The sequence below is a fragment of the Homo sapiens genome, chromosome 22 (assembly GCF_000001405.40).
Source record: "Homo sapiens chromosome 22, GRCh38.p14 Primary Assembly".
NCBI lineage: Eukaryota > Metazoa > Chordata > Mammalia > Primates > Hominidae > Homo > Homo sapiens.
Genome location: NC_000022.11, coordinates 37,333,487 through 37,357,750, shown reverse-complemented (window position 1 = coordinate 37,357,750; position 24,264 = coordinate 37,333,487). Strand labels below are relative to the sequence as shown.

Genomic DNA, 24,264 nt, shown 5'->3' with positions numbered 1-24,264 from the left:
TGGGCTCCAAGTTGTTAGCACTCTAGGGGGTTCTAGGGCACCGCAACATTTTTGCAATGCCTGACTCAAGGGAAGGAAGCCAACATTTGTGAGGCATTTAACGTGAGCCACGTGTTGAGCTGGGCCCATCCCTGTGGCTCCCATTTGATTTTGACACAAATTCTTAGAGCCAAGCACTGCTACAGATGGTTTTGGGAAGTGTAGTGAGTTCCCCATAAGAAGTGTGGCTAAAAATCAGTAAGAAAAGGATGATCAGTGTGAGAGGAAAAGGAGAGTAGGAAAAGAGAATTCTTAGATGAAGCCATAAAAATGGCGAAGAAACCTATGCAAAGATACTCCTCTGTTGTGGCAGAGATCACAAGCTGTTCTCCAGTATCCACCTTCCCTTCTTCCACAGGAGCAAAACCCTTCATTTTCAGCCAGGCATGTGGTCTATTATTAAGACATTCCCCAACCTCCCGTCTAGCGTGAGGCCCCGTACTCAAGTTCTGGTCAATGAGAAGTAGCAGATTCCAGGAACCGTCCTAAAAAGGCAGCTGACAGGTGTTCCTTATTTCCTTTTTCTTTATCTTTTTCTTGTGGCTGGAATACGAGACATAATGGTTGGGGCTCCAGCAGCCCTTATGGGGCAGTGAGGAGACCTTGGGGACAGAGATCCCACATAGCAAAGTAACAAGAGGAGGGGTCTGCGTGACCAAAACCATGGAGTAGAGCTGACATGCCAGCTCTAGACTGCCGTCCTCCTGATTTTACTTAAGCAATAAATGTCTGGCTGGAGTCTCTGTTATTTGTTCCTCTGCCTATTCCTCGCTGATAACAACAGAGAAATACAAAACAAGACAATGAACTTTCCAAACTCCTGATCACTTTTCACTCATGAGATTGGCAGAAACCTAAAAAGACGATGATATTGTTAGAGACAGTGTAGTGCTGTGGTTCACATCCCTCCTGCTCTGGACTTACCAGCTGTGGGAACGTGGACAAAGTGTGTAATCCTCTGTGCCTCAGTTTCCTCACCTAAAAAATGAGTGTCAAACCCAGTACTACCCCACAGAGTCATTGTGAGGGATCAGTGTTTAGAACAGTGCCCCATGCAGAGCACACATAAGTGTCTGCCGTGACTATTACTATTTAGCTGACGTACCTGAGGTGGGTGCGCAGGTGTAGAGGAAAGACGTTCACGCCTGGCCAGGAGTGTGAAACGTAGACAGCCATTTCAGAGGGCTCTTGATGTTTCAAAACTTTCAAACTACATACAAGACTCCCCCCAAGGTGCCCCCTCTAACCCTGAAATTCCACCTCTAGGACCCTGAATCCCTTGGGGTCAAACATGTTTCAGATTTTCGGAAGGTAACTTGGCGCATATGCCCCATCCTGTGTTACTCTTCCCCGGGGTCTGGGGCTGCCCCATGCTGTAGACCCTCTGGGGTGTTCAGCCCACCTCAAGTGCAACTGGGGAATTCTGGGGAGTGAAGGCCCTTCGGGTAACCCTCAGCTGGTAGAGCCCAGGGGCAGGTGGGTAAGCGCCCAGCAGCCTCTAGTCCTTCAGAGAAGCACCCCACATTGCTCAGGAGGTCCTAGAGAAGTTGACCGCCCCCTCCTGCAGTGCCCTCTGCAGTGACCTCCGTAACGACCCTTGTATTATCTTCTCCCAACCCCCGTCTCACTCTCCCCGGTTGCTCCCTCCTGGATTCTGGTGTCACCTTCCAAAAAAACACCTGCACTCAAGTCCTGTCTCAGGCTTTGCTTTTGGGGAACTCAGCCCAAGACAACCCCCTGATGAAACACATTATTTCTTCAGCAAGCTGCACACATATCACAGCAAGTGGGAGAAACAAAAGACGCTGAACACTCTCACGTCAATTTGGGTCAGGTTTGCTGGCAAATAGGTAGAAGAAAAGACGTATGGTTCTGGGAGCATTTGGGTTTCATGGCTGTGGATATGGGACTGGACTGCACTCTGCGGAGCACAAAGGCAACCTCTCTTGCTGAGTTCACTCGGTGTGAGTGGAGAGGCTCCCCCGGCCACGGACTGCACTCAGAAGGCCTGAGACCACAGCAGTCACCAGGAGTTGGGCCCTCCAGGAGCTGATACTTGAGTGTAGAAGATGTCTGCTGGGGCTCCTGGCAACACTTGGGAAGGGAGCCCTTTGGGTGGGGAGACAAGGCCACAATCGATGGGTGCTCAGGGATGGCCCCGCTGCAGAGGTGAGGTCTGAGAAGGGACTTGACAATGAGAGGAAGCCTAGGACGCCAGCACCACCTCCACCTCGCCACCACGGCAGGTGCTCCTGATGGGTCTCAGGGCGAGCGCACCCTCTGCCAGTGACAGGTCAGGTGTGGGCTGTGACCAGTCTCAGCCAATGAGACATCAGGGAGGGCCCGCAGGTGGCCTCGGGCCCGGCCAGCCTGGATGCTGAGGCCGACCTATGAGGCTGACTCGAGGTGGGGAAGAGCAGAACAGGCAAACGGCCAGTGCTCACCCTGCTCCCTGCCAGGCAGCACTGTGGATGGGCTTGTGGCCCACGTGAGACTGAGCAGGGATTTCTGTCACTTGCGGCAGAAAACCTCCCACTGGCTAGCAAGCACCTGGTCCATCCCAAGGGACAGACTGACAGGCTATGGCTTGTCCCCATCATGGAACACAGCAGAGCGCCGAAAAGAAAGAGGGGGTATCCTCCCGTCCTGAAAAGGAACCAGCGACGAGAGATGTCATCTGTTCTCAACCAGGGGTAATTTTGCTCCCTAGGTAGGTTGCCAGGTTAAGGAAATAAAAATGCAGGGCAGCCAGTTCAAGCTGAATTTCAGACCGTGCATGTTAACTAGATGTCCTGTATTTACTGTGGCAACCTTACCCCCAGGGGACATTTGGCAATGTCTGGAGGCAGTTTTGGTTGTCACTGGGGATGGTTAGGTGCTACCAGCATCTGGTGGGAAGGCACCGGGGGTGCTTTTAAACATTTCACAATGCATAGGACAGCTGAGGCCAAAAAAAAAAAAAAAAATTATCCAGCCTAAAATGTCAGTTGTAACAAGGGTGAGAACCCCTGTATTAAATGAAAGATAGCAAAAACCCCATAAGAACCCCATAAGATATGGTAGGATCTCATTTGTACGTCCTGTATTTACTCTGGCAACCCTACCCCCAGGGGACATTTGGCAATGTCTGGGGTTGTTACTGCGGATGGGGTTGTGTGTGTGTGTGTTTCTTTTTTTCTTTTTACACACCCAACTAAGCCATAGAATCGCATAGAAAAAGGTATGGAAGGTCACATACCTAAGTCATGTGGGGTAGGGAGTGGTCATTCCTTTTACTCTAAATACCTTCTGCAGTGTTTTATTATTTGTGAAGTTAATTATAACTGAAGTGAATATATACGTGTATACACACACACACAGAAAGCATGCCTATCAAAACAATAGATATTTCACAAAGTGAACACACCCATGGCATGGCCTCCTGATGAAGATGAAGAACATGGCCACTGCTCCATGAGGCCCTTTGCAGTCCTGCCAGCCTCTCCCTCGAGGGCTGCGAGGGGAACTGCTGTCCTGACTTCCAACCTGCTTTGGGCTCCACATGAACCGAATTCTGCCCGACGTCCTCGCTTGAGACTGGCGTCTTTCCCTCAGCAACGTGTCATGATTCATTCATGTGGATCGGAGCAGCGGTTGGATCATTTTCATTGCTGTGAAATACACCACAATGGATTTATGCATTCAACCGTTGATGGACATTTGGGTCGTTTCCCGTTTGGCAAGATGATGAAGAAAGCTGGTATGAGCATTCTTTCACACGTCTTTTCTTGGGCATATGTACTCACTCCTGTTGAGTGTAAACCTAGGAATGAATCGCTCAGTCATAGGGCAAATGTGTGTTCCTCTTTCCTAGATACCATTCGAGTTCCCAAAGTGCTTGCACGGGTTTACGCTGCCATCCACCAGAGATGAAAGTTCCGCCTGGGCTGCTGCCTCCTGGCCAAGCCTGGCTGGGTTGTAGCTTTTGCGCTTTAGTCCCTCTGGTGGGTGTGTAAATTGCTAATCACTGTGATTTTAATTCGCATTTCCCTGATGATGAAGCTGAGCACTTTTTCATAACTTTATGGGCCATTTGATTGTCCTCTTTTGTGAAATGCCTATTCGGGCCATTGGTCCATTTTTCCATGAGGTTATCTCCGTTTCTCTCATTGATTTGTAATTAAGAGTCCTGTTGCAAATCTCTTTTCCCGCTGTGCGGCTTCTTGCCTTTTCCTTCGCTTACAACGCTCCATGCTGTCCTGGACCCTAGCATCACCCAGGCCTAGGTAATAGAAGGGTGGCTTTTGTAAAGCGACTCAAGGCTGAGAAGGGAACAGACACTCTTAGCACAATAAGCTACAGGCTGAAAAACAGCCGGAGGTGAATCTTTGCAGCGTGAATGGTCTGGCTGTCTTTTATAAAAGTAACTCGATTGGACTAGACCCCATGAGGGACTCTGCTCCTCCGCTCCCCTTTCCCTGAGGACCTAATTCCCCACTGGGTCAGCCGCAGAACCAGATAGAGCTGGGGACTCACGACCCGTGCTGACGACTGGATGCAAGAGGAGGAAGGACTTTGGTGGAGAGAAGGAATCAAAAGGAACCAAGGTACGCAGCTGGGGGCAGGGGAGGTGAGAACATGGGAGAGGGTTCTGGGAAGGGGCTTACTGCTGTCATGGGCAGGACACATTGAGTAGACCCCTTCCTGTGGTCTCTGTGTAGGCCAGAGCCACTTCTCTGCCTTTCTATGCAGCCATTTTGCCCCTTGCCTGAATCACTGTAGCATCCTCTTAACTGGCCTGCCTGCTTCAGCTCTGGCCATCCTCCACCCCGACCTGTGCCCAGCAGCCAGAAGTAGCAAGATCGTTAAAAACGAACATCAGAGTGCATTTCTCCCACAAAGCCTCCAGTGGCTACTTCTTGCATTTAGAATGCATCACAAACTCCTTCCAGGAGTGCCCATCCAGGCAGGATGTGATCTGGGTGTGACAGCCTCCCCTGCCACTTTCCTGCCCCAGCCACACTGGCCACATGTTGCTCAAACAACCACACGTGTTCCAGCCTCAGGGCCTTTGCACTTACCGCCGCCTCCATCTAGAATGGTATATATACCCCAACTTTGCCACGCCAGCTTCTTATCATTTTGGGCGCATCTCAGGGTCACCTCCCCTGTGGTGTCTTCCCTGAGCCCTCCTATATGGCCTTACCCTGGGTCAGCATCCCCTCACTCTGTTTTCTTTCCTTCATGACACTGGCCACTCTGAAATGAGCTATTTTTCTATTTTGTTTGCAGAATGTGAGACAAGAGGACTTGCTGGTGGGGTCCCCTGCTGTGTCCCCAGAGTCCCAGCATGTGCCTGACACACAGCAGGTGCCTGATTGATAGTGACGGTTCCCCAAAGGCTGCTGGAGTCACCTCTGGGATTCTGCACAGGCTCCACCCTCTGGGGAGGTGTGCTTGGTAGAGGACACGAAGGCTGCTTGTTGGGGTTACCTTAGTACCTGGGTGAAGAGTAAAAAGTAATTAATAATAACGAAAGAAAACGATTGAGTTGGGTGAACCATCGGCGTCCTTGAACCTTGCGGACTTATGGCACCCATAGGGTAGGGCATGGGGTCTGGGAGTGAGGAGCGTGTACCTTTCACTTCCAGAGAGGCACCTTCTTGGGCTACCTGGGATGAGGCCAGGTGGTGCTGGTGGCCAGGACGTAGGTTACCTGAATGCCCACGAGTCCTGGGTGGCTGCCAGCTCCGAGTTGGGCAGCCCAGTCTACTCGGGGGCCAGGCAGGCGCAAAGATGAGTGAGGCAGCTCCTGCAACAGAACAGGAAGGAGAGAATCTGCTAGAAACTGGAATGCTAATGCCCTGGCCCAGAGCCATTCCCAGTGAAAATAAAATAAGATTTGAAATGGGGCCGCCACCAGAGCAGGTCAGGAGTGACCCCGCGGCAGCCCTCTGTGTTGGCTGGAAAGCTGACAGGTCTGGGGGCCACACAGTCTGAGCGGGAAGGGCTCGGAGGTGGAGCCTCACTTCACAGGTAAACTGAGGCCTTGAAAGGGGGCCTGGCCAGCACGCAGGTCTCGAGTCCCAGCCCAGTGCTCTTTTCTCCAAGCCTTGAACTTTGGGATGGTCAGAAGTCGAGAGGGTGGGGGGGACGCTGGAGCATGGGGAAGGGGCAGAGTGAGAGGAGTTTTGGGGCAGTGAGAGGAGGCTGCAGGCCTGGCAGGATGAGAGCAGTGGGAGGGTGCCCCCACTGGAGGAGTCAATGCCAGCACCCAGCACCTGTCACTCGAGGAGAGGTGAGGGAGGTGGAGAAGGGCAGGGCTAGGGCATTAGGATTCCAGACAGCTCTGGACACCCAATTTTCCAGCTGGGTGCCCTAGCCTGCTCTCTGAGCCTCCTGCCAGAGCCAGTCTAATTGACAGGGAGAGAGGAAGCTCCTGGGGTGGGGGCAGGAGAGGAGAGGAGTGAGGGACTAGAGAACAAGGAGAAGACAGTGAGGAGGAGGGAGAGAAGAGAGAAGAGGGAGAGGAAGAGATGGGAGAAGGACTGGGAGGAGAGAGGGGAGAAGGAGGAGAGGAGGGAGGAGGGAGGAGAGGAGGCAGGCAGGTGGGCACTTAGCCCAGGGGACCGCAAGGGAGGAGGGTTGGCTGGCTGATTGCAGCTGGAAGGGAATCAAGAAATGGCACCCCTCATTTAAAAGAGGAGGAACCGGGCCTGGAGAGGAGAAGCCATGTACCCGGGGTCCCGCGGCCCACTGAGGCAGGGGCAGGATTAGAGGGCAGAGCTTGGTTTCCTGACTCCCAGGCGGGGGAAGGAGATGGAATGGGTCAGGGGGTAAGGGTGGAGGAGTCCTGAGAGGGGAGGGCCCCTCCGAGGCTGATGGAGGTGGGGTGAAAGGAGACTGCCTGGAGGCCTCGGGTCTTGGAGAAGCACCACCTTGCCTGTCCCGCCTCCCAGCGGCCCCTCTCGGTGGCTGCCCACAGCCAGCGTGGAGCAGGGATACCTGGCACTCCTGACACAATTCTGCCAGAGCTGCCGCCCCCACCCTGGGGTGCTGATGGGAGTAATCAGCGCTAATGACAGTACTGGGGGCTCTGGGGTCACACACGCTCTCAGCCTCCAGGGGACCAGGCCCGGGGAGGGGAAAGGAGCTGGCGGGTGGGCCTAGGGCCCTGCGGTGGGGAGGCAGGGAAAGAGGGGATAGGGCCTGCGGCTGTCTCTAAAGCCTCCTCAGCAATGTGGGATCAGTAGTGGGCCTGAGTGAGTGGGTCCCTCCCCTCACCCCCTGGGTGGCCAGAGCTCACTGAGGCCACCGAGTCCCCTGCAGCCGCCCGACAGTGTCTGCTCAGTCAGCTGCACACTGCGTACCAGAGGGACCTTCTCAGGCTGCAAACTCAAGTGGCAGAAATGGAACTTCTTTTGCCTCCAGGAACAAAACTGAATCATTTCCTTGGCTCCCACCCGTTCTTGCCATTTATGCTGCTACCTGGCCCCTTCTAGACAAACTGTAGACAAACTCGGCCCACATGGGGGTTTCGCCGTTGCATCAGGTTCTCCTTGGACCCGCTCACTCCTGGGCGTCTGTGAGGCCAGCTGTGGGGTTCCCTTCTCCGACAAGGGCGTCTCTGGGTGCTGTGTCCTTTGAGCCAGCAGCCCTCTGCGTACCACAGCCCAGGCAGCCTCACACCCCGTCCCCACTGCCCGCCAGGACCAGGTGCTGCTGTGGGCGCGCACCACTCCTCACTGCCTTGGCTCTCCGATCTCATGGGGAGCATCCCTCAGGAACAGGAGCCTCGTGCCCACTTACCTCTTGACTGTCCTCAGGGAACGCTGGCTTTTGGGCCTTCTGTGCCCAGGGGTTGGCTGGAATCTCCTTTCAATGTTGCTCTCTCTGACACAAGTTTCAAATTTTTATTTCAAAATTCAAAAGCTGAGCCTTAACTTCCGTGGGCACAACCCCATCTTGAAAGCAGAAGCTGGAATGTCCTGGGCTGGAGGTGTAAGATGATGGTGGTGAGGGTAGGATGTAAACCACGGTGTGGGCTGATGAGTGTGCCCTGCAAGGCCCCACCTGCACCCCCACCCCACCACCCAGTGCCTTCTCTGAAGGGCAGGGCAGGAGGAGGAAGGGGCTGGCAGATCTGATGTCCCTGGGGTAGGAGGGGCTGCAAAGGGGGTCCCCGTGCTGGGGCTTACCCTGTGCCAGGCTGGAGATTGGAGTGTGTGGCTGTAGGAGGGAGCAGACGCTGGAGGTGGGTGTGGGCAGGGCCCCTGGGGGGCCTCTCAGGAACCTCCAAACATCCTTGAGAAGTAGGCCGGGCTGCCCCAAACTGGGGCAGGTGCAGGGAATCTGGGCCGGGGGCACCGTGGATCCCCAGGGCTGGGCCTTGTGCACGGGTGCCTCTCTTCTACCTGCCCCTGTGGGGAGAGTCCAGGGCAGGGCCACCAGGCCACCCTCATCCCATTGGCCTCTGGTTCTCACAAGCACCCAGTCCTATGCCACCTCCGGACTGCACGACAGCTAAGTGGCGGGGCTGGGATCTGCACCCAGGCCTCCTGGTGCCGGGGCTTGGCCCCTTTCCGGGTGTATCACATTGCCGTGGGGAGCGGGCACCCAGGACTGCCCATCAGAGTCAACCGGCCCAGCCCAGGCTAGCGCGTGGCATGCAGAAGAGATGCTCTGTAGCGATCTGTGGGCTGCCCTGCTGACATGAAAAGCGCCCAGCATGCACTAAACGCTCAGCAGATGGGAAACCAGCCTGTGGGTAAATGTGTAAGACGGGTAGACGCAGACCTCCCCAGGCCCCAGGGCTCACTTCCTATCTCATCTCCTCCAGGAAGCCTCCCATGATGCCACCTCCACCAAGCCATCATATTTATGATTTTCTCCCGACCCCTCATGCTCTGCTGCCCTGCTGGCAGCGTCCGGCTGACCTCCATGTCCTCTCCCACCTTCCCCCTCCCCAGGTCCCTCTCGGGTGGCACATTCCTCAGATAGGACACAGATTGGTGGGCCCCGGGAGCTGAGGACAGAGAGAGGGAAGGGAAGCCCCTGAGTGTCCTTCCTGGGACAGCCCATTCTTCAGGAGAGAGAGACCCAGACCATGGGGAAGAGTGTGGGACAGGAGCCCTGCCCCGAGGTCTGATCTGGCCCGGGGCTGGGCCTCACCTTCCGGACCTTGCTTTTCCCTGCAAGGCCATGGGACTGACCAGCTCGGAGACACTCCAGGAAGGCCACCCCTCCCTGATCTGGGGCCCTGTGCCCACCTCAGCCTCGTTTCTCCTCCTTTCATGTCTCAGGAAGTCCTCAGCCCTTCCCTGCCCCCTAACACAGGGTTGTTTCTCAACCCCACAGCCACGCCTGTCTCCACTGAGCCTGGAAGCCCCTTGCTAAGACTTCTGTGAGAAGGAGGCCCTGTTCTTGCTCTCTGCACAGTGCCCCTCACCTGGCACCCCTAGCCCCCAAGGGTGTCCTCCCCCAAGAAGATGGGCCCTGCTCTCCTCCTTCCCCAGCATGAAGGCCAAATGCCTCATACATGAGCGCACGTGTCTGTGAACTTCCAGCCTCAACGTGGCCCACACTGGCCTCTGCCAATAGACTTGGAATGAGGAGGGCATCCCAATTGGGCCCCTGAGGTTGAGGACAGCCAGAAGAGGAGAAGGCTTAGAGCCCCAAGGCAGAGACCCAAGACCTAAGGTGGGAGAATCCCCAGGGGTAGAGTTCAGCTCAGCAGAACGAGGGACTCCCACCTTCACAAGAGATCAGAGATGGGCAGGTGGGCGCGAGCTCCCCAGCCCTGGAGGTGTGCAAGTACAGGCTGAAGAGCTGTAGGCAAGGATACTGTAAAGGGGTTCAAATATCAGAGGGGTTGAACTAGATGGAATTTAGGGCCTGTTCTGTCCTCCAATCCAAGGAATCTGGGGGTTCCCTGCCTTAGTATGTCAGACATTATGACTTTCCCAGGGGGCCCATCTTCATAGTGAACTCTTAAAAATCTTCCAGGTACAAAAGAATGAACTGATAATGAGAGACTGCAGCCACTGATTGTGTGTGTGTGTGTGTGTGTGTGTGTGTGTGTGTGTGTGTGTTCTGCCACCCACCACCTATACAATCTTGTGTGAGTCCCTCAACCTCTTGGGGCAGTGTGTTTATCTATGACATGGAGGGTGCGGCTGCAGGCCCCAGGTACATTCCCAGCAGCTGCCCATCCTGTCAGGGGCTGCTGGGGCAGAAGTGACATGGAATGCAGAGGTGCTTCCACGGCCAGAGGTGTGGGTGGTTCTGTCCGTGGTTTTGGATGTGATTATTGTCCAGCCAGGTAATCGGGAGCTTGTGAAGCTTCTTGAGCGAGGCAGTAATGTCTGACTATGAATACCTGCAGCTTCAGATTTGGAAAGGACCTTTGGAATAGCAGCAGAAGTCAAGCCCTCCAGGAAATAATGAAGATGGGAGGCCAGGCGTGGTGGCTCACACCTGTAATCCCAGCACGTTGGGAGGCCGAGGCGGGCGGATCACCTGAGGTCAGGAGTTCGAGACCAGCCTGGCCAACATGTTGAAACCCCCATCTCTACTAAAAATACAAAATTAGCTGGGCGTAATGGCGCACACCTGAAATCCCAGCTACTCGGGAGGCTGAGGCAGGAGAATCACTTGAACCGGGGGGGCAGAGGTTGCAGTGAGCTGAGATCATGCCATTGCACTCCAGCCTGGGCAGCAGGAGTAAAACTCCATCTCAAAAAAAAAAATAATAATGAAGATGGGGTTATTCCAAGAGCAAGATACATTAGGGTGTGGGACAGAGACAGAGAGCTGGGGGTGGAGAGAGTCCAGCCACGCCCTGTCTCTGCACTGCTGAGGGGACTGGGGGCTGGTGGCATCCACGGTGTTTCACTGAGGGCTGTGTGTGTGTATGTCTTGGTGTGTACAGTCTGCGTGCATGTGTGTGTTTTGCAACGTGTGTGTACGGTTGTGTGCTGCATGTGGTGTGCACATGTGTGTGTCATACAGGAGCCGTGCCTCTCCGTGTGCACCTGTTTTCTGCTGTCACACCAAGAGAATGAACACAGGCCCCTAGCTTCCAGCCAAGGGCAGAGGAATTCTTTATTTCCATGGCCTTCCCCAGTGATTAAGTCTCCAAACTTTTCCTCCACCATCATTTCTTCAAAATGAAAAACCAAATTGTATCTCCAAACTGCTTGGAAATCGATTTCTTTCAGAATGAACTTTTGCAGAAGCGGTTTCAAGGAGAAATAAGAGGAGGAAGACAGGAGGGGTGTGTAGGGTGGGGACAGAGCAGCTGCCAGGGCCACCCAGGGCCTGGGTTGGGAGGGAAGGAGGGGTGGGGTAGGAGGTGCTGGAGACTGGAGGGCACTCTGGACTCTGGGGCGGGGGAACCTGCTTCAGCCTCACCCCACCTGCTCCGGCCAGGGCCCTCAATGCCAGCCCTTCCTGGGGCCTGGTCTGGGAGGCTTGGGGAAGTGCCCAGTGTGCGCACAGGCCGGAGCTTCTCCAGGGCAGAACAATAATAGAGTTTCAACTATAAACCCAGGCGTGATGTGGCCGCCAAGTTTTGAGCCAGGCACTGGGCCAAGTGCTTTTCCCGAATTATCTCCCTTAATTCTCACATCAACCTCAAGCCGGTGTTATCATCCCGTCCTAATGACGAAGAAACCAAGCATCTGTGGCCCAGAGAGGTTAGTGAGCGTTTTTGAGAGGATGGTGGAGAGGATTCCAGGCGAGGGTGGATGGGAAGTGCTCAGAACCACATCTGGGGGTGGTTTGGGATCAGCAGATGTCAGGGCCAATGGGAAAAGAGGGAAACAGCAGACATAAACAATGGGACAAAGAAAACACTCCCTGCCAAGGGTAAAAGCAAGGAGGCCATGGCCGGGTGTGGTGGCTCATGCCTGTAATCCCAGCACTTTGGGAGGCTGAGGCAGGCAGACCATGAGGTCAGGAGATCAAGACCATCCTGGCCAATATCGTGAAACCCTGTCCCTACTAAAAATACAAAAATTAGCTGGGCGTGGTGGCACGCACCTCTAGTCCCAGCTACTCCGGAGGCTGAGGCAGGAGAATTGCTTGAACCTGGGAGGCAGAGGCTGCAGTGAGCTGAGATTGTGTCATTGCACTCCAGCCTGGGTGACAGAGTGAGACTTCGTCTCAAAAAAAAAAAAAAAAAAGACAACAACAAAAACAAAAAACAAGGAGGACATGGCCCTTTGCAGGGGAGCAGGTGTGCCTCAGGGCTGTGGAGCACCTACTGTGTGCCAGGGCGTTTGACTCCCTGGCAGGGGTTGTTATTAATGCATGTTATGCATAAGGAACTAAGGCTCAGAGAAGTGGAGCGACTTGCTGAGATCACACAGATAGGGAGAGAACCCAGATCATCCTGGGTCCAAAGCCTGTATACCACTTCCCAGCGTCACCTTGCAGAGCATCTGGGAAGGCTTCCTGGAGGAGGTGGCTTCTGAAGGTGATGGGGAGGGAGGGGCAGAAAGGAAACTGCACAATGACAGTTGAAGAGGAGAAAAGACTGGGGATGGCGAGGAGGAGGCCAGTGTGTCAGGATGAAAGGTGCTCACAGATTGGTGGGCCCAGAAGGGGGCACAGGAAGGTAGTGGGCCAAGTGGACATCTGTGATGGGGGCAGTGCCTGGTGCAGTGGGACCCAGAGGAGACAGGCTTGCTCTGCAGGGACTGACGGGAGCGTGGCCCCTCAGGGGCAGGTGCCTGGGCTGGCTCCCAGTGGGAGAGTGGTGCTGACAGCAGGGAAGAGAACGGGGAGGGCCCCCTGGCAGAGCAGGGGGGATTGTGCTCTGGGCATGGAGGCGGCATGGGATGATGATGCCCATTGGGGGAGCTCGCCCCTCAGCGCCCCCTGCGCACCTGAGGAGCAGGGTGAGAGCAGGCGTGGACGGGGATGGGGTGCCTGTGGCAGAGGGGATGCGCATGGTGGTGCCAGGACAGGAGAAGGAGTTTGCAGAGGTCAGCCTTCGAGGACCGCAGAGGTCAGCCATGCTGGGGATCAGGCTTCCCCTGAGGGCCACGTGCATGGAGTCTCTTGTGGAAGGGGGGTAGAGACAGTGTGGCCACAGTGGGTCACAGCATCCCCCTCCTCCTGCCACATCAGAGGCACCAGGATGAGGGCCGGGAGGAATGTGTTCCCAAGACTCGAGGCTGGCACTGGGCCAGGACCAGGAAGGCCACCTGTGTGGGGGCAGCAGGGGGGCCTCTGGGTGCCCTGAGCCTGGGTCTTGCTGCCCCTCCTGTCCACTCCCAGTGCCCTGTCCACCTGGCGCTGAGAGCCGGCGATGCTGGGGGTTTGGGATGGGGTCAGGGCTCCTGGGTGTATGTGCGCATGTAGATTTGTGTGTGAGTGTAGGAGATATCTGTGGGAGCAGTGTGTGTAGGACTTGTGTGAGTGTGGTGACTGGGCTGTGGGAGGGTTGGTGGCTGCCACCATTGCGTTGTAGGTGGGTGTGGGCAGGTGGGCATGGGCAGGTGGGTGTGGGCAGGGGGCATGGGCAGGTGTGCATGGGCAGGTGGGGTTGGGCACGGGGCATGGGTGGGGGCATGGGCAGGTGGGCATGGGCAGGTGGGCATGGGCAGGCGGGCATAGGCAGGGGGCCATGGGCAGGTGGGGTTGGGCAGGGGGCATGGGTGGGGGCATGGGCAGGTGGGCATGGGCAGGTGGGCGTGGGCAGGCGGGCATAGGCAGGGGGGCATGGGCAGGTGGGCGAGCAGTGCTGTAAGCCCTCGGCCCCTCCACCCACTGCCCTGTCCCACTCCCTCTTTGACAGCGGCCTGGCCTAAGGGATCCAGGGGGGTGTGAGGGGCATCAGGAGGAATAGCACTGGAGGAAACTGGGGAAGATGAGGGCCAGGAGGGTTGGGAGAGCTGGAGAGGGTGTGGGGAGGATTAGAAAGGGTTTGGGAGCTGGAGGGGCTAGATAGGGCTGGAGGGACTGAGGTGGGTGAACACTGGAGATGAGTTGGGGAGGCTGGGGTCCGGGGGGGGTGGGTCTGGGAGCCAAGGGGTGGGTGCCAGCCAAGACCGCTCTCTGCACTCCCTCCTGCTGGTGGCTGGCAGCCTGGTGGGTGTTGATCATCCTCACGGCTGAGCAGCGGGAGCACTGAGGAGGGAGCAAGACAGGCTCGGCTCACAGCAATGAGGGAAGCTGGCCAAGGTGGAGGCGGAGGAGGCGTGAAACCGACAGTGGAGCCCAGGCCGGGGGCTGAGAGAGAGACAGAAACCTCAGACTGGAGGCAGCCTGGAGTGGGAGAGGCGGGCATCGGCCAGCAGATGGGAACCCTCACAGCAGACCAAGAAATGGGAGGGTGTAGTGCCCATCTCTAGGTGGGGAAACTGAGGCTCAGGGAGGGCAGGTTGTTCCAAAGCCACCCATTCGGAGCCCAGGGGCATAGGGGCGGGGGAGCAGGGAGGAGCGGACCTGGGACACAGACCGTTGCAGCTGGGGCCCCCACCTGCCTCACTTATGGGATTCCTTGGCCAGAGGAAGGAGCTGGGCTGAGGTTCAGGAGCCTGCAGTTGAGTTTCTGCCTTCCAGTCGCCGCCCTGCTGTGGCCTCACTGTGTGTCCTCGGCAAGTTCCGGTCCCTCTGAGGGCCTCAGTCTCTCTGTGAAATTGAAGAGGCCTGGGACCAGACCATCTGCCATATTCCTTTCTGTTTCTGTGACTTGAGCCCCATGGCACCCACTCTGCCAGCATTCATGGGGTGCCGAGTGGGCCCAGGTAAGCTGTCCCTTAGCTGCTGTGTGACCTTGGGCAAGGCTCTCAGGCTCTCTGAGCTACCATTTCTCCATCTTCCAATGAATGGGGGCTTGAAACAGATCTACCTGTCTGGGCCTGGCCCTGGGTAGCCCTGCCCCTTCCCTCCCCTCCCCGCTTCCCTTTCCTGTGCCCACCCCCCCACCCACACCTTGCTCCCCAGCTCTTGAAGCTGAGCCTCCTCAGGGGCCCACAGACTGGCTCTGATGAAAGGTTCATTTTCCTTTCTTTGTGCAGGTGACAAATTCTACCGCCAGTAATCACTTGTGAAAAATCAACAGTGAAGCCCAGTGGCTCCCGGTCCCCCGGAGAAATCTGAGTGGATTTCCAGAAGAACAAGGTGGAAAAACCCAGGGGCAGCAGTGGGACCCAGGAGTGGGGGGGACCTGGGAGGGAGGACTTCGCTCAGCAGAGCACAGGACCGGGCTGCACCTCGGGGGAGGGCCCCACTGCACCCCACTCCTCCCATTGCATCGTGGAGCTTTTGCACAGGATGATCCCTCTGCCTGGAATGGCCCTCCTTCTCCCCCTCCTCTGCAAGAGGACAGGGGGTGGGCAGGAGACACTGGGGAACAGGTGCTGCTAGAGGGAGGCTAGAGAAAGGGCAATAATGGGAGAAAGGGGCAGACGGGCCTATTCTGGAGGGCTGAAATGCTGGGGAGGAGCTGGATCATTTGCAGGACAATAGGGAGCCATGGAAGGTTTTTGAGCAGGGGATGGATATGTGGAAAGCTCTGCTTCACTCCGCTTCTCCGTGCCTCTTCAAGTCTTCAGGGGAAGACTTGCTCGGTCTCCAGGGACCCAAGTCCTCATCCGGTCTTTGGGGAGGGGTGTAAAGAATGCATGGAGGTGTGGCGGTTGTTGGGAGGCAAGGGGACAGGTTGGGGTGACTAACACAGATGGCAGGCCACCCCTGTGCCTGTCTAATGTCAGGGTCAGGGCTCCTACAGGGCAGTGCAAGTGATGAGTGGGTGAGCCAGGCTTGGAACCCAGGTCTGTCTGACCAGAGGGCCCCAGCAGGAGGAGGATCCTGGTAGCGACCTGCCTGTGGGGAGAATTCCCCTAAATTATCTCATTTGTGCCTCTTCCTCATTCTGAGGAGGGGCTCTGTCCTCACTGACCCATTTTGCAGATGAGGAAACCAAGGTTCAGAATTGTCAGGGGTTTGAGTTCACCAACGAAACCAGTATTTCTGGCTTCTGAACCAGTGCTTGGTACATGGCAGGTGCTTAACGAAGGGATGGGAGTCAGGCTTTGAGGATTTGGACTCTAGAATGAGTCCTCTCCAAATAGCACCCAAGAGATTTCTCTGAGATGGGGCTGTTCTCAGACAGTGTGAAAATCCCAGAAATAGAACCATCCGGGAAACCTTCAACCACGTTGGAAATATGGCCCAGTGAGGGAAAGTGGCTTGCCCAGGGCCGCACAGCACACCAGTGACAGAGCAGGGACAAGGACCCAGTGCTTTAGACCTTCCCTCCTCTAGACCCAGGCGGGTGAGCACAGTGGGCTTGGCCCAGAGCTGGAGAGGAAAGGCAGGTACAGCCCACCTAGCTCCGTCCTCCACAGCTGCACAGGAGGGCCTGAGATAGGCAAGGGGAGAGGATGGCTGGCCACAGTGGTGGAGCAGCAGGACTCCAGAGGGGACAGCAGTAAAGTGGGAGGGACTGAACCCCTTCAGCTCCTGCCCTACGCCCCTGCCATGCGAGCCTCAGAGGCCCACCCGACCCAGTCAAGACTGCACCTCCCCTCCCATGCTGCCACATCACCACTAAGCACACAATTTCCATGGTGACCCCTGCCCCCTGGCTGCTGGTGAGGTCGGTGGGTGCCCCTCATGGTCTGGCTCACTTGCTGTCTCTCCCTCTTTCTCTCCATCCCTCTTTATCCCTCCCCTTCTCCCTCCCTCTCTCTATCTCTCTCAGTCCAATCTCTGCCCTGCTGCCCTCCATCTGTCTATTTCTCTCCTAGACTTCGGCTTCAGACAGATGTGGTTTCAAAGCTGCAGTCCCGGCCTTCCTGAGCTGTGTGACCTTGGTTACGTCCACGTGCCCATTGCCTCGCCTGGGCCTCACTTTTCTCATCTGTATCATGGAGTTGGCACCACCGGCTCTGCCCTCAAGGTTTGCCGCGCCTGCAGAGGCCCCTGAGCATTCAGCAGGTGCTCACTCAGCAGGAGCTGCCAGACGTTGAATGTGTGATGGGAATCATTGGATGCTGCCGCCTCTCCGCCCACCCGCCACCTGACACTGCCTCCTGGCTCTCCATCACTGCCCAGGAGTCGGGCAGCCTCCCCGCTCCCTGCTATTTCTTCTCTGCACCTGACGCCGCCTCCTGGCTCTCCATCATTGCCCAGGAGTCGGGCAGCCTCCCCACTCCCTGCTATTTCTTCTCTGGAGCTTCCCAGGAGGTTAATAGCAGCTTCTCACCAGGATATTTGGCTTTTTAAGGAATCTCCTTGCCTCTTTCTTCTCTGTGAGGATATTCTCAGGATGGTTGCGGTGGAGAAGGGAAGGAAGGAGACTCTCGAGGCATTTGCCAACTAAGGGGGGCACTTAGGGGTAGGTGGGGGGGGCCAGTTCCGGGCAGAACTTGGGGCAGACAGTGCCCTGTTTCCAGAACAGCTCCCAGTGCCGGGCTGGGCTGGGCTTAAATGCAGTGGGAGAAGCTCAAGGGTGGGGTGGGGTCACAGGCTCCACTTGGAATGGGCCAGGTCATTTGACTATGGGGGCATTTCTGAGCCTGGTGGGGCCTCAGTCTCCCCTCCTGGAAGGTGGGCCTGATGATCCATGCCAGCCTGTAAAGGAAGGGAAAGAGTTTTGCTGAGCTGCAGAAGGAGGTGCAGACAAGGCGAGGGGCTGGGTGTTGGGGGAGGCCAGCTGAGCGCCCAGGACCCCTCTGGCCCCACCCCAGGTCCTTGGGCTCCAACTGCTCTCAGCCCTGCCCTGAGCTCAGGAATGGGCCCAGGCCTGAGAAGGAGGTCAAAACTCTGCAGCCCTTCCACTACTACTTCGGGGGGCTCAGCACAGCTCCTCTGGGCTCAGGTCCCCAGGCCTTTCCCTGATGTAACCCCCCAGTCAGGCCCGCACAGTAGGGGAGGTCCACCTCTTATGTGTGTGTTTTAAATTGCGGTAAAATGTACGTAACATGAAATTTACCATTTTAGCTCTGTAAGCATACAGGTCCGTGGCATTCGGTACATTCACATTCCTGTGTGGCCATGACCACCATCCATTTCCGGGGCTTCTGCATGATCCCGAACAGAAGCTTGCACGCCCTGCGCCACGCCCCCTCCCATGTCAACCCCCGTAACCGCTGGTCTTCGTCTCTATGAATTAAACTATTCCAGGTACCTCCCATCAGTGGAATCATAAAATATATGTTCTTTTGCATCTGGCTTATCTGACTTAGCATAATCAGACGACCCCGTCTTAACAGACAAGTAAACTGAGGCACAGAGAGGCTATGGGACTCGCCCCAGCTGTGTGCCCCTTCTCACCGCCTTTGCGTCTCCTCTCTGTTCTGACCGTCCCCGTGAGGGTGGAAGTATGCCGGCCATGCCCACATTTCACTGAGGAAGAGAGAGAGCGGCCCCACGGTGCTATGAGTCCCCAGAATTAAGACCTCCAAGTTTGGTGCTCACACATTCAGGAGAGCCACACAGCTCTGCCCAGGAGAGCCCAGGGCCTGAGCTGGGCCAGGGTTTAATGGGGAGCAACCAGGGACCGCCATGCCTCTTTTCAGGTCCCAGTGTCTCTTTTCTGAGGGTGACTCTGTAACTAGGCCCTGAGGGTTGCCTCGGGCTATGCTAACATCACCCCTCCTCTGGATTGTCTGGGTAAGGGAGGGGACAGGAGTGAAGTCAGCAACATGGCCCAAGAGGCCGCCCAGGGCAAAGAAGAGCCTGATAAGGGACTCTGGCCTTCAGGTGACCCACACTGCCTGGCACAGCCTCCACCCCCATGCCCTCCTGGGCCTCCCAGGCTCAATTTGTGTGTGTGATTGGGGAGGGCCAGGGTGGCTGGGAAGATTTTAGGATATAGGAAACACATTTATTGTGCTTTCAACGTAAGCCTGGGGACCCAAGAAAATCAGGCATCTGGTAAGGGAAGGGAAAATGAAGGATCTTCCCTGGGCCCTACTCACCTTCTTACGCTAATACTTAAGACCTTTTGTGATCTGGCCCAGTCCATGTGTCCACCTGCCAGTCTTGTCCTCCACTCCTTGATCCTTCCATGGAGTCATGCATTCGGTAAGTATTGACTGAAGACACCTCCACCCAGGCACAGCGTCAGTCTCTGGAGCCACGGCTGCAGCTGTGAGGAAGACAGATGTGCCCGCCCTCCTGGAGTTCCTGAGCTGGGGGTCCTATGGCAAAATCCAGCATGAACGAAATAATCAGATGATGCCTAAGCACAGGCAGTACCCAGGGCTTTGGGGAAGCCAGGGCCTTGTGAGGGACTGGGGAGCAAGCTGGATTAAGACTGGGAGTCACGGAGGGCGCCGCTAAGAGGCTGCAGAGCAGAGGGATAGATGGAGCCGGCCAGGCAAAGGGCTTCAGGAAGATCAGCCAGGCAGGGGGAACAGCACGCAACATGGCCCGGAGGCGCCAAAGAACTCGGTGAGGCTGAGGAACCTGGAGGTCAGGCAGTGTCGGCCATCGTCAGTGAAGAACAGCCGGGGCAGTGGGGCCAGGACCTGCGCAGGGGCCACCCACTCAGGACTCGGGGCCAAGCCAGGAAATGAAAATCGTCAGAGTGGAACTGGGGGACTTACCGTAGGGGATTGGAAGCATTAGAAGGGGACAACGAAGGCCGGGCGCGGTGGCTCACGCCTGTAATCCCAGCACTTTGGGAAATCCCAGCAAAGAGATGGTAAAACCCCATCTCTACTAAAAATACAAAAATTAGCTGGGCGTGGTGGCGCACGACTGTAATCTCGGCTACCCAGGAGGATGAGGCAGGAGCATCGCTAGAACCCCAGAGGCGGAGGTTGCAGTGAGCCAAGATTGTGCCACTGCCCTTCAGCCTGGGCGACAGAGCAAGACTCAGTCTCAAAAAAAAAAAAAAAAAAAAAGAAAGGGACAATGAGATCACAGCGTAGTAGGAAGTTGCTGCTTCCCAAGGCCAGGGGGACAGAGGGAGGAGGTGGCTCTGCTGGAATTCCAGCACCATGGAACCAGGAGGAGCAATTCTGGCAGCAGCTGGAGCCCTCAGGGTGTAGACTTGGCCAGAGCCGTGCCCAAGGCGGACAGAGAGGGGGGCAGAATCCCCTGGCATTGGCTTTCCTCCTGCCCTCCAGGCTCTTCCCAGCTGGGAGCCAACTGATGCAGGAACCAAAACAAGGCCTGTGTGGCCTTGGAGAAGACACTTGCTTTGAGCCTCAGTTTCCTTTCCTGTTAAAGGGACCCATCAGTCCGGCCTTGCAGGTCTGTGGTTAAGGCAGGGCTGTTTCTCTGCCTGGCACTGGGCCCCAGCTCAGCCCTCTTAATCTGCAGAACTTGCCATTACTCCCCTGCCCTTCTGGGCTCCCTGTGTCCAAGGGGCCCTGAGGACTCAGAAATGAGTCAGACCCTGGCCTCTAGGTTCTCCACTCACTTGGGCCAGGCTGTGGTTGCAGACTGTGCGGTGCTCTCACAGAAAGCAGGCGGGTGGGTACCTTTCACTCCAAAAGGAGCGGAGAGCACAGGGTGAGGTGGGGGCTGGAGCTTCAGAAAGGAGGCTGCATCTGGAAGGCCAGGGAGGACCTCTTGAGGGCTCTGAATGTCAACCTGCATTGCATGAACTTGATCCTCAAGGGGAGGTGGGGGACAGGCCTGGCAGGTGTGCATTGGGAAAGCCCTGTTAAGAGCCAGTGCATGTCAAGCGCCTTGGAACTGTGCATCGGGGATGGTGGCCTGGAGGGGACGAGCTGGAGGCAGGAAGACTAGGGAGGAGGGTCTTTCTAGAGGAGCTCCAAGACTCCCCTTGGACATGCTTTCTGGGACTGCTAGAGTGATTCCTTCTTTCCTGTCACGAAACACCTCTCCCTGTCCTTGAGCCGGGATTCTGAAAAGGTCTCTGGTTCCTGGGCCAGCCCCACCCTGCCCTGCCTTGAGGCCACATCTGCCACACCCTCAGCCTGGCCTAAGGTGCTAGTTACTTGTTGCTATCTCTGGGGACCTTCTTGCCAAGACTGTGCCGTGGAGGGGGTGGGGAGGGGAGGAGCTGAGAAGAGGGGGATGGGCAGGCCAGAGGTTGTGCCCGGTGCACGTGGGATGGAGTATAGGGTGATGCTGTGCTGGGCTGTGTGTGTATGTCGGGGGCGTTTGTCTTGGAGGGGCATGTAGAAGGGATTCCAGTGGTTCACTGGGGGCTTCGCCCACCACTTTTTAATTTTTATTTTTATATATTTTTTGATACTAAGTCTTGCTCTGTCTCCCAGTCTGGAGTGCAGTGGTGCGATATCGGCTCACTGCAACCTCCGCCTCTCAGGTTCAAGCAATTCTCTTGCCTCAGTCTCCCGAGTAGCTGGGATTATGGGCGCCCGCCACCACACCTGGCTAATTTTTTGATTTTTAGTAGAGATGGGGTTTCGTCATGTTGTCCAGGCTGGTCTCCAACTCCTGAGCTCAGGCAATCTGCCCGCCTCGGCCTCCCAAAGTGCTGGGATTACAGGAGTGAGCCACTGCGCCCGGCCACGCCCCCGCTCTTAGTTCTCCCTTCCAACCTTTTCATCCATCAAAGGTTACACTGGGACCCTGCGTCTGTGAGGTGGGGAGATATCTGAAGCTAGACTGGGGATCCCCTCCCAAACGGGATCCTGGGGACTGGCAGACAGCTCAGCTGCCCCCCACTCTCCATCATCCCCAGGGCTCCACCGCAGCCCTGCTCCTCTGTCCTGTGTCCAGCCACCCTGGAAGAGATGGGGGTGGAGTGCAAGGGACTTCAGTGCAGGGAGGGGCTGCAGGGAGGAGGAGGCGAGGTGGGTTTGAGGCCAGAAGACGGAGGGAGATGGGGAAGAAGAGGGGCACCCAGAGCAGCCGACAGCAAACCTAGTGAGCAGTGACAATCAAAACAGGGGCGGTTCACTGAAACTTCTGTGTGTCTGCTGGCTTCACACACTTTATCTGGCTTAATCTTCACTAGTATTATTCTTAAATTTTAGTTTTGTAAATGTTTGTATTTTATTTTGTTTATTAGCTGGAATTGCTAATGCATTTACACATTTGAATATTTAAGAGGTGTGTGCAATACTGAGTCTCCATCTCCCCCGGCTCATTCCCCAGGGACCAGGCTCCCTCCCTGGAGGCAGCCAGCTTCGCCAGCGACTTCCCTCCTCTTCCAGGCTGTCTGCGCAGACAAGCAAACATATGCATAGAAAAGCAAATATATACACATACATTTCCCACTTTTTAACCCATTAAAGGCTGGCATTCCATCACCCGAGTCTTCTGACTTCTTTTTCCACTTGCCTACTTACTAAGGCTCGGAGAGGTTAAGACAATCGTCTAGAGTCACACAGCGGGGGTGGAAAGATGGGCGGCGACCTCAGTCAACCGGTGGAGTGGGATGGAGGGGACAGGATCGGTTTCCGGTAAGAGAAGCGGGAGGAGGCGAGGAGAGCGCGGGGAGCGGGGAGGAGGACGGAGGCGCGGGGCCGGCGTAGGGGATGGGTGGCCAGCCTGGCGCAGAGACAGGAGTCTGGCGGGAGAGGGGAGCCGACGAGATGCGGAGGCGAGCAGGTTCCTGCTCCTGCTGCCCCCGCCCTGGCGGTTGCCGGTGGGACCTGCGACCACCGGAGCCCATGACCCTTCTTTACGCCCCCTATCGTATACTACCCTATCCAAGGCTGGGGTGGGGGCTTCTTCCTGGATGCCCCGCTCCGCCCACGCCCAAGTTCTCCGGCAGAGCCTACAGGTCCTCACTCCCTGCCCATCCTCGTTTCCAGCCTCTCAATCAGGCCTGCGAACGGGCGATGGCGATGCGGTTCTGGGCCTGCCCTAACCCTCTGAGCTAGGACCTGCCATCTGTGAAATGGGTGCATAGTGTGTGGGGGTGGGGCGGGGGTGACTCGGCCTTGGCCGTTCGAGGTTTGGGGATAGCTCGGTGACACCGGCCCCCTCCACTCCGATTTGATGCTCCCCCCAATACCTGGGTGCACTCGCCCCCCTTCCCCGCTACTCCTTGGCTTGGGGGAGGGGGTGGGTGACAGTCCCTGAGCATAGGCGGTCCTACCGATCCCCGCCCGCGCCCCCTTTCCAGATGCTCCTGGGCCGACGCCGCAGGTCCGGGCCAGCCCGGAGCGCCCAGGCGGGGCCGCCGCGGGCAGCCTCCGCGTCGCTGAGCTTTAATGAAGGCCCCCGCGGCGCCCGGCTAATGAGCTCTGGGCCCGGGGTGCGCGCCGTTCCGCCGGGTCTTCGGTGCACCGCCGGGTCCTAAAACGCGGCCGCTACTGACTGACCCTGGGTTCGATTCCCAGCCGAGACGTTTCTGCTCCATTCCGGCAGGAGCTACCTTCCCGAGCCGCGCTTTGCTCACCTGTAGGAGAGCTAGAGGGAAATAAGACAGCCCTTCTTAGGATGGTGGAGTGGCTAGAAAGAAGCAATCCACGCCAAAGGCTTAGCTCAGTTCCTAGACTTAGTAAATGCTCAATAAATGTCTGCCATTGTTATTATTATTTATTATGCTTCCAGCTGGCCTGGAAGGAGGGTTCTGGAGCCAGAAGGGACCTTGGAGAGACCTCGGTTAAATCTCTAGCGCCATCTTTATTTTTAGGATGGAGTAACTTGCTCAGGACCTACATCTAACATTGTGGAGGGGATGCGGTTTTTAAGTAGGAATTCTTGACTAGACCTCTCAGCAACCCTTCCTCTCCGTGACAGTGGGCGCTACACCCCTGTTCCCCTTCACTCTGTGTGTTTGTTCACCTGCTTTTCTGAAATGTCCAAACTGGAAGGGTTGTTAGCTATCTTCTGGCTAACATCTCTCACTTGCTGTGTGATTCTGGGCTAGAGGCTCACCCTTTCTGGGCCCATATTCACACCTGTCAACAGAGAAGGCTGCACTAGCCTGGCAGTTCCCAAACCCCGGCTACATATTGGAATCATTTGGAGAGGCTTTTTATCATTTTAATTTTTATTTACTTATTTATTTTTATTTTTTAAGAGACAGAATCTCACTATGCTGCTCAGGCTGGTCTTCAACTCCTGGTCTCAAGGGATCATCCCCCCTTAGCCTTCTGAGTAGCTGGGATTACAGGCATGAGCCACTATGCCCAGCTTGGAAAGCCTTTCAAAAATGCCAGTTTGGCTAGGCACAGTTCACGACGGCAATCCCAGCACTTTGGTAGGCCGAGGAGGGCAGATTGCTTGAGGTCAGGAGTTTGAGACCAGCCTGGCCAACATGGTGAAACCCTGTTTCTACTAAAAATACAAAAATTAGCTGGGCGTGGTGGCAGGTGCCTGTAATCTCAG

The 24,264-nt window shown here is 56.3% G+C and overlaps 1 protein-coding gene and 1 long non-coding RNA gene across 2 annotated transcripts in view, besides 2 other annotated features; both read left to right on the top strand.

Annotated features, from left to right (window-relative positions):
* ELFN2 (extracellular leucine rich repeat and fibronectin type III domain containing 2) overlaps positions 1-17,107 on the top strand; it is an 86,836-nt gene extending 69,729 nt beyond the window's left edge. The window contains exons 2-3 of the transcript NR_110512.2: positions 15,048-15,150; positions 16,782-17,107. The gene's annotated coding sequence lies outside the window, so the exon portion shown is untranslated. The remainder of the gene's footprint in view (positions 1-15,047; positions 15,151-16,781) is intronic.
* Positions 1,876-2,376: an enhancer, noted in NCBI's record as "H3K4me1 hESC enhancer chr22:37751415-37751915 (GRCh37/hg19 assembly coordinates)". NCBI's record gives its function as "activates a minimal SCP1, AML or CMV promoter by ChIP-STARR-seq in primed H9 embryonic stem cells {active_cell/tissue: H9 hESC(primed)}" and the evidence as "EXISTENCE:reporter gene assay evidence [ECO:0000049][PMID:30033119]".
* Positions 2,377-2,877: an enhancer, noted in NCBI's record as "H3K4me1 hESC enhancer chr22:37750914-37751414 (GRCh37/hg19 assembly coordinates)". NCBI's record gives its function as "activates a minimal SCP1, AML or CMV promoter by ChIP-STARR-seq in primed H9 embryonic stem cells {active_cell/tissue: H9 hESC(primed)}" and the evidence as "EXISTENCE:reporter gene assay evidence [ECO:0000049][PMID:30033119]".
* On the top strand, positions 2,912-5,561 carry LOC100506271 (uncharacterized). The gene is made up of 2 exons (NR_110515.1): positions 2,912-4,625; positions 5,311-5,561. It is a non-coding gene; the product is annotated as an uncharacterized LOC100506271 (long non-coding RNA).
* Positions 17,108-24,264: the final 7,157 nt, after the last annotated feature.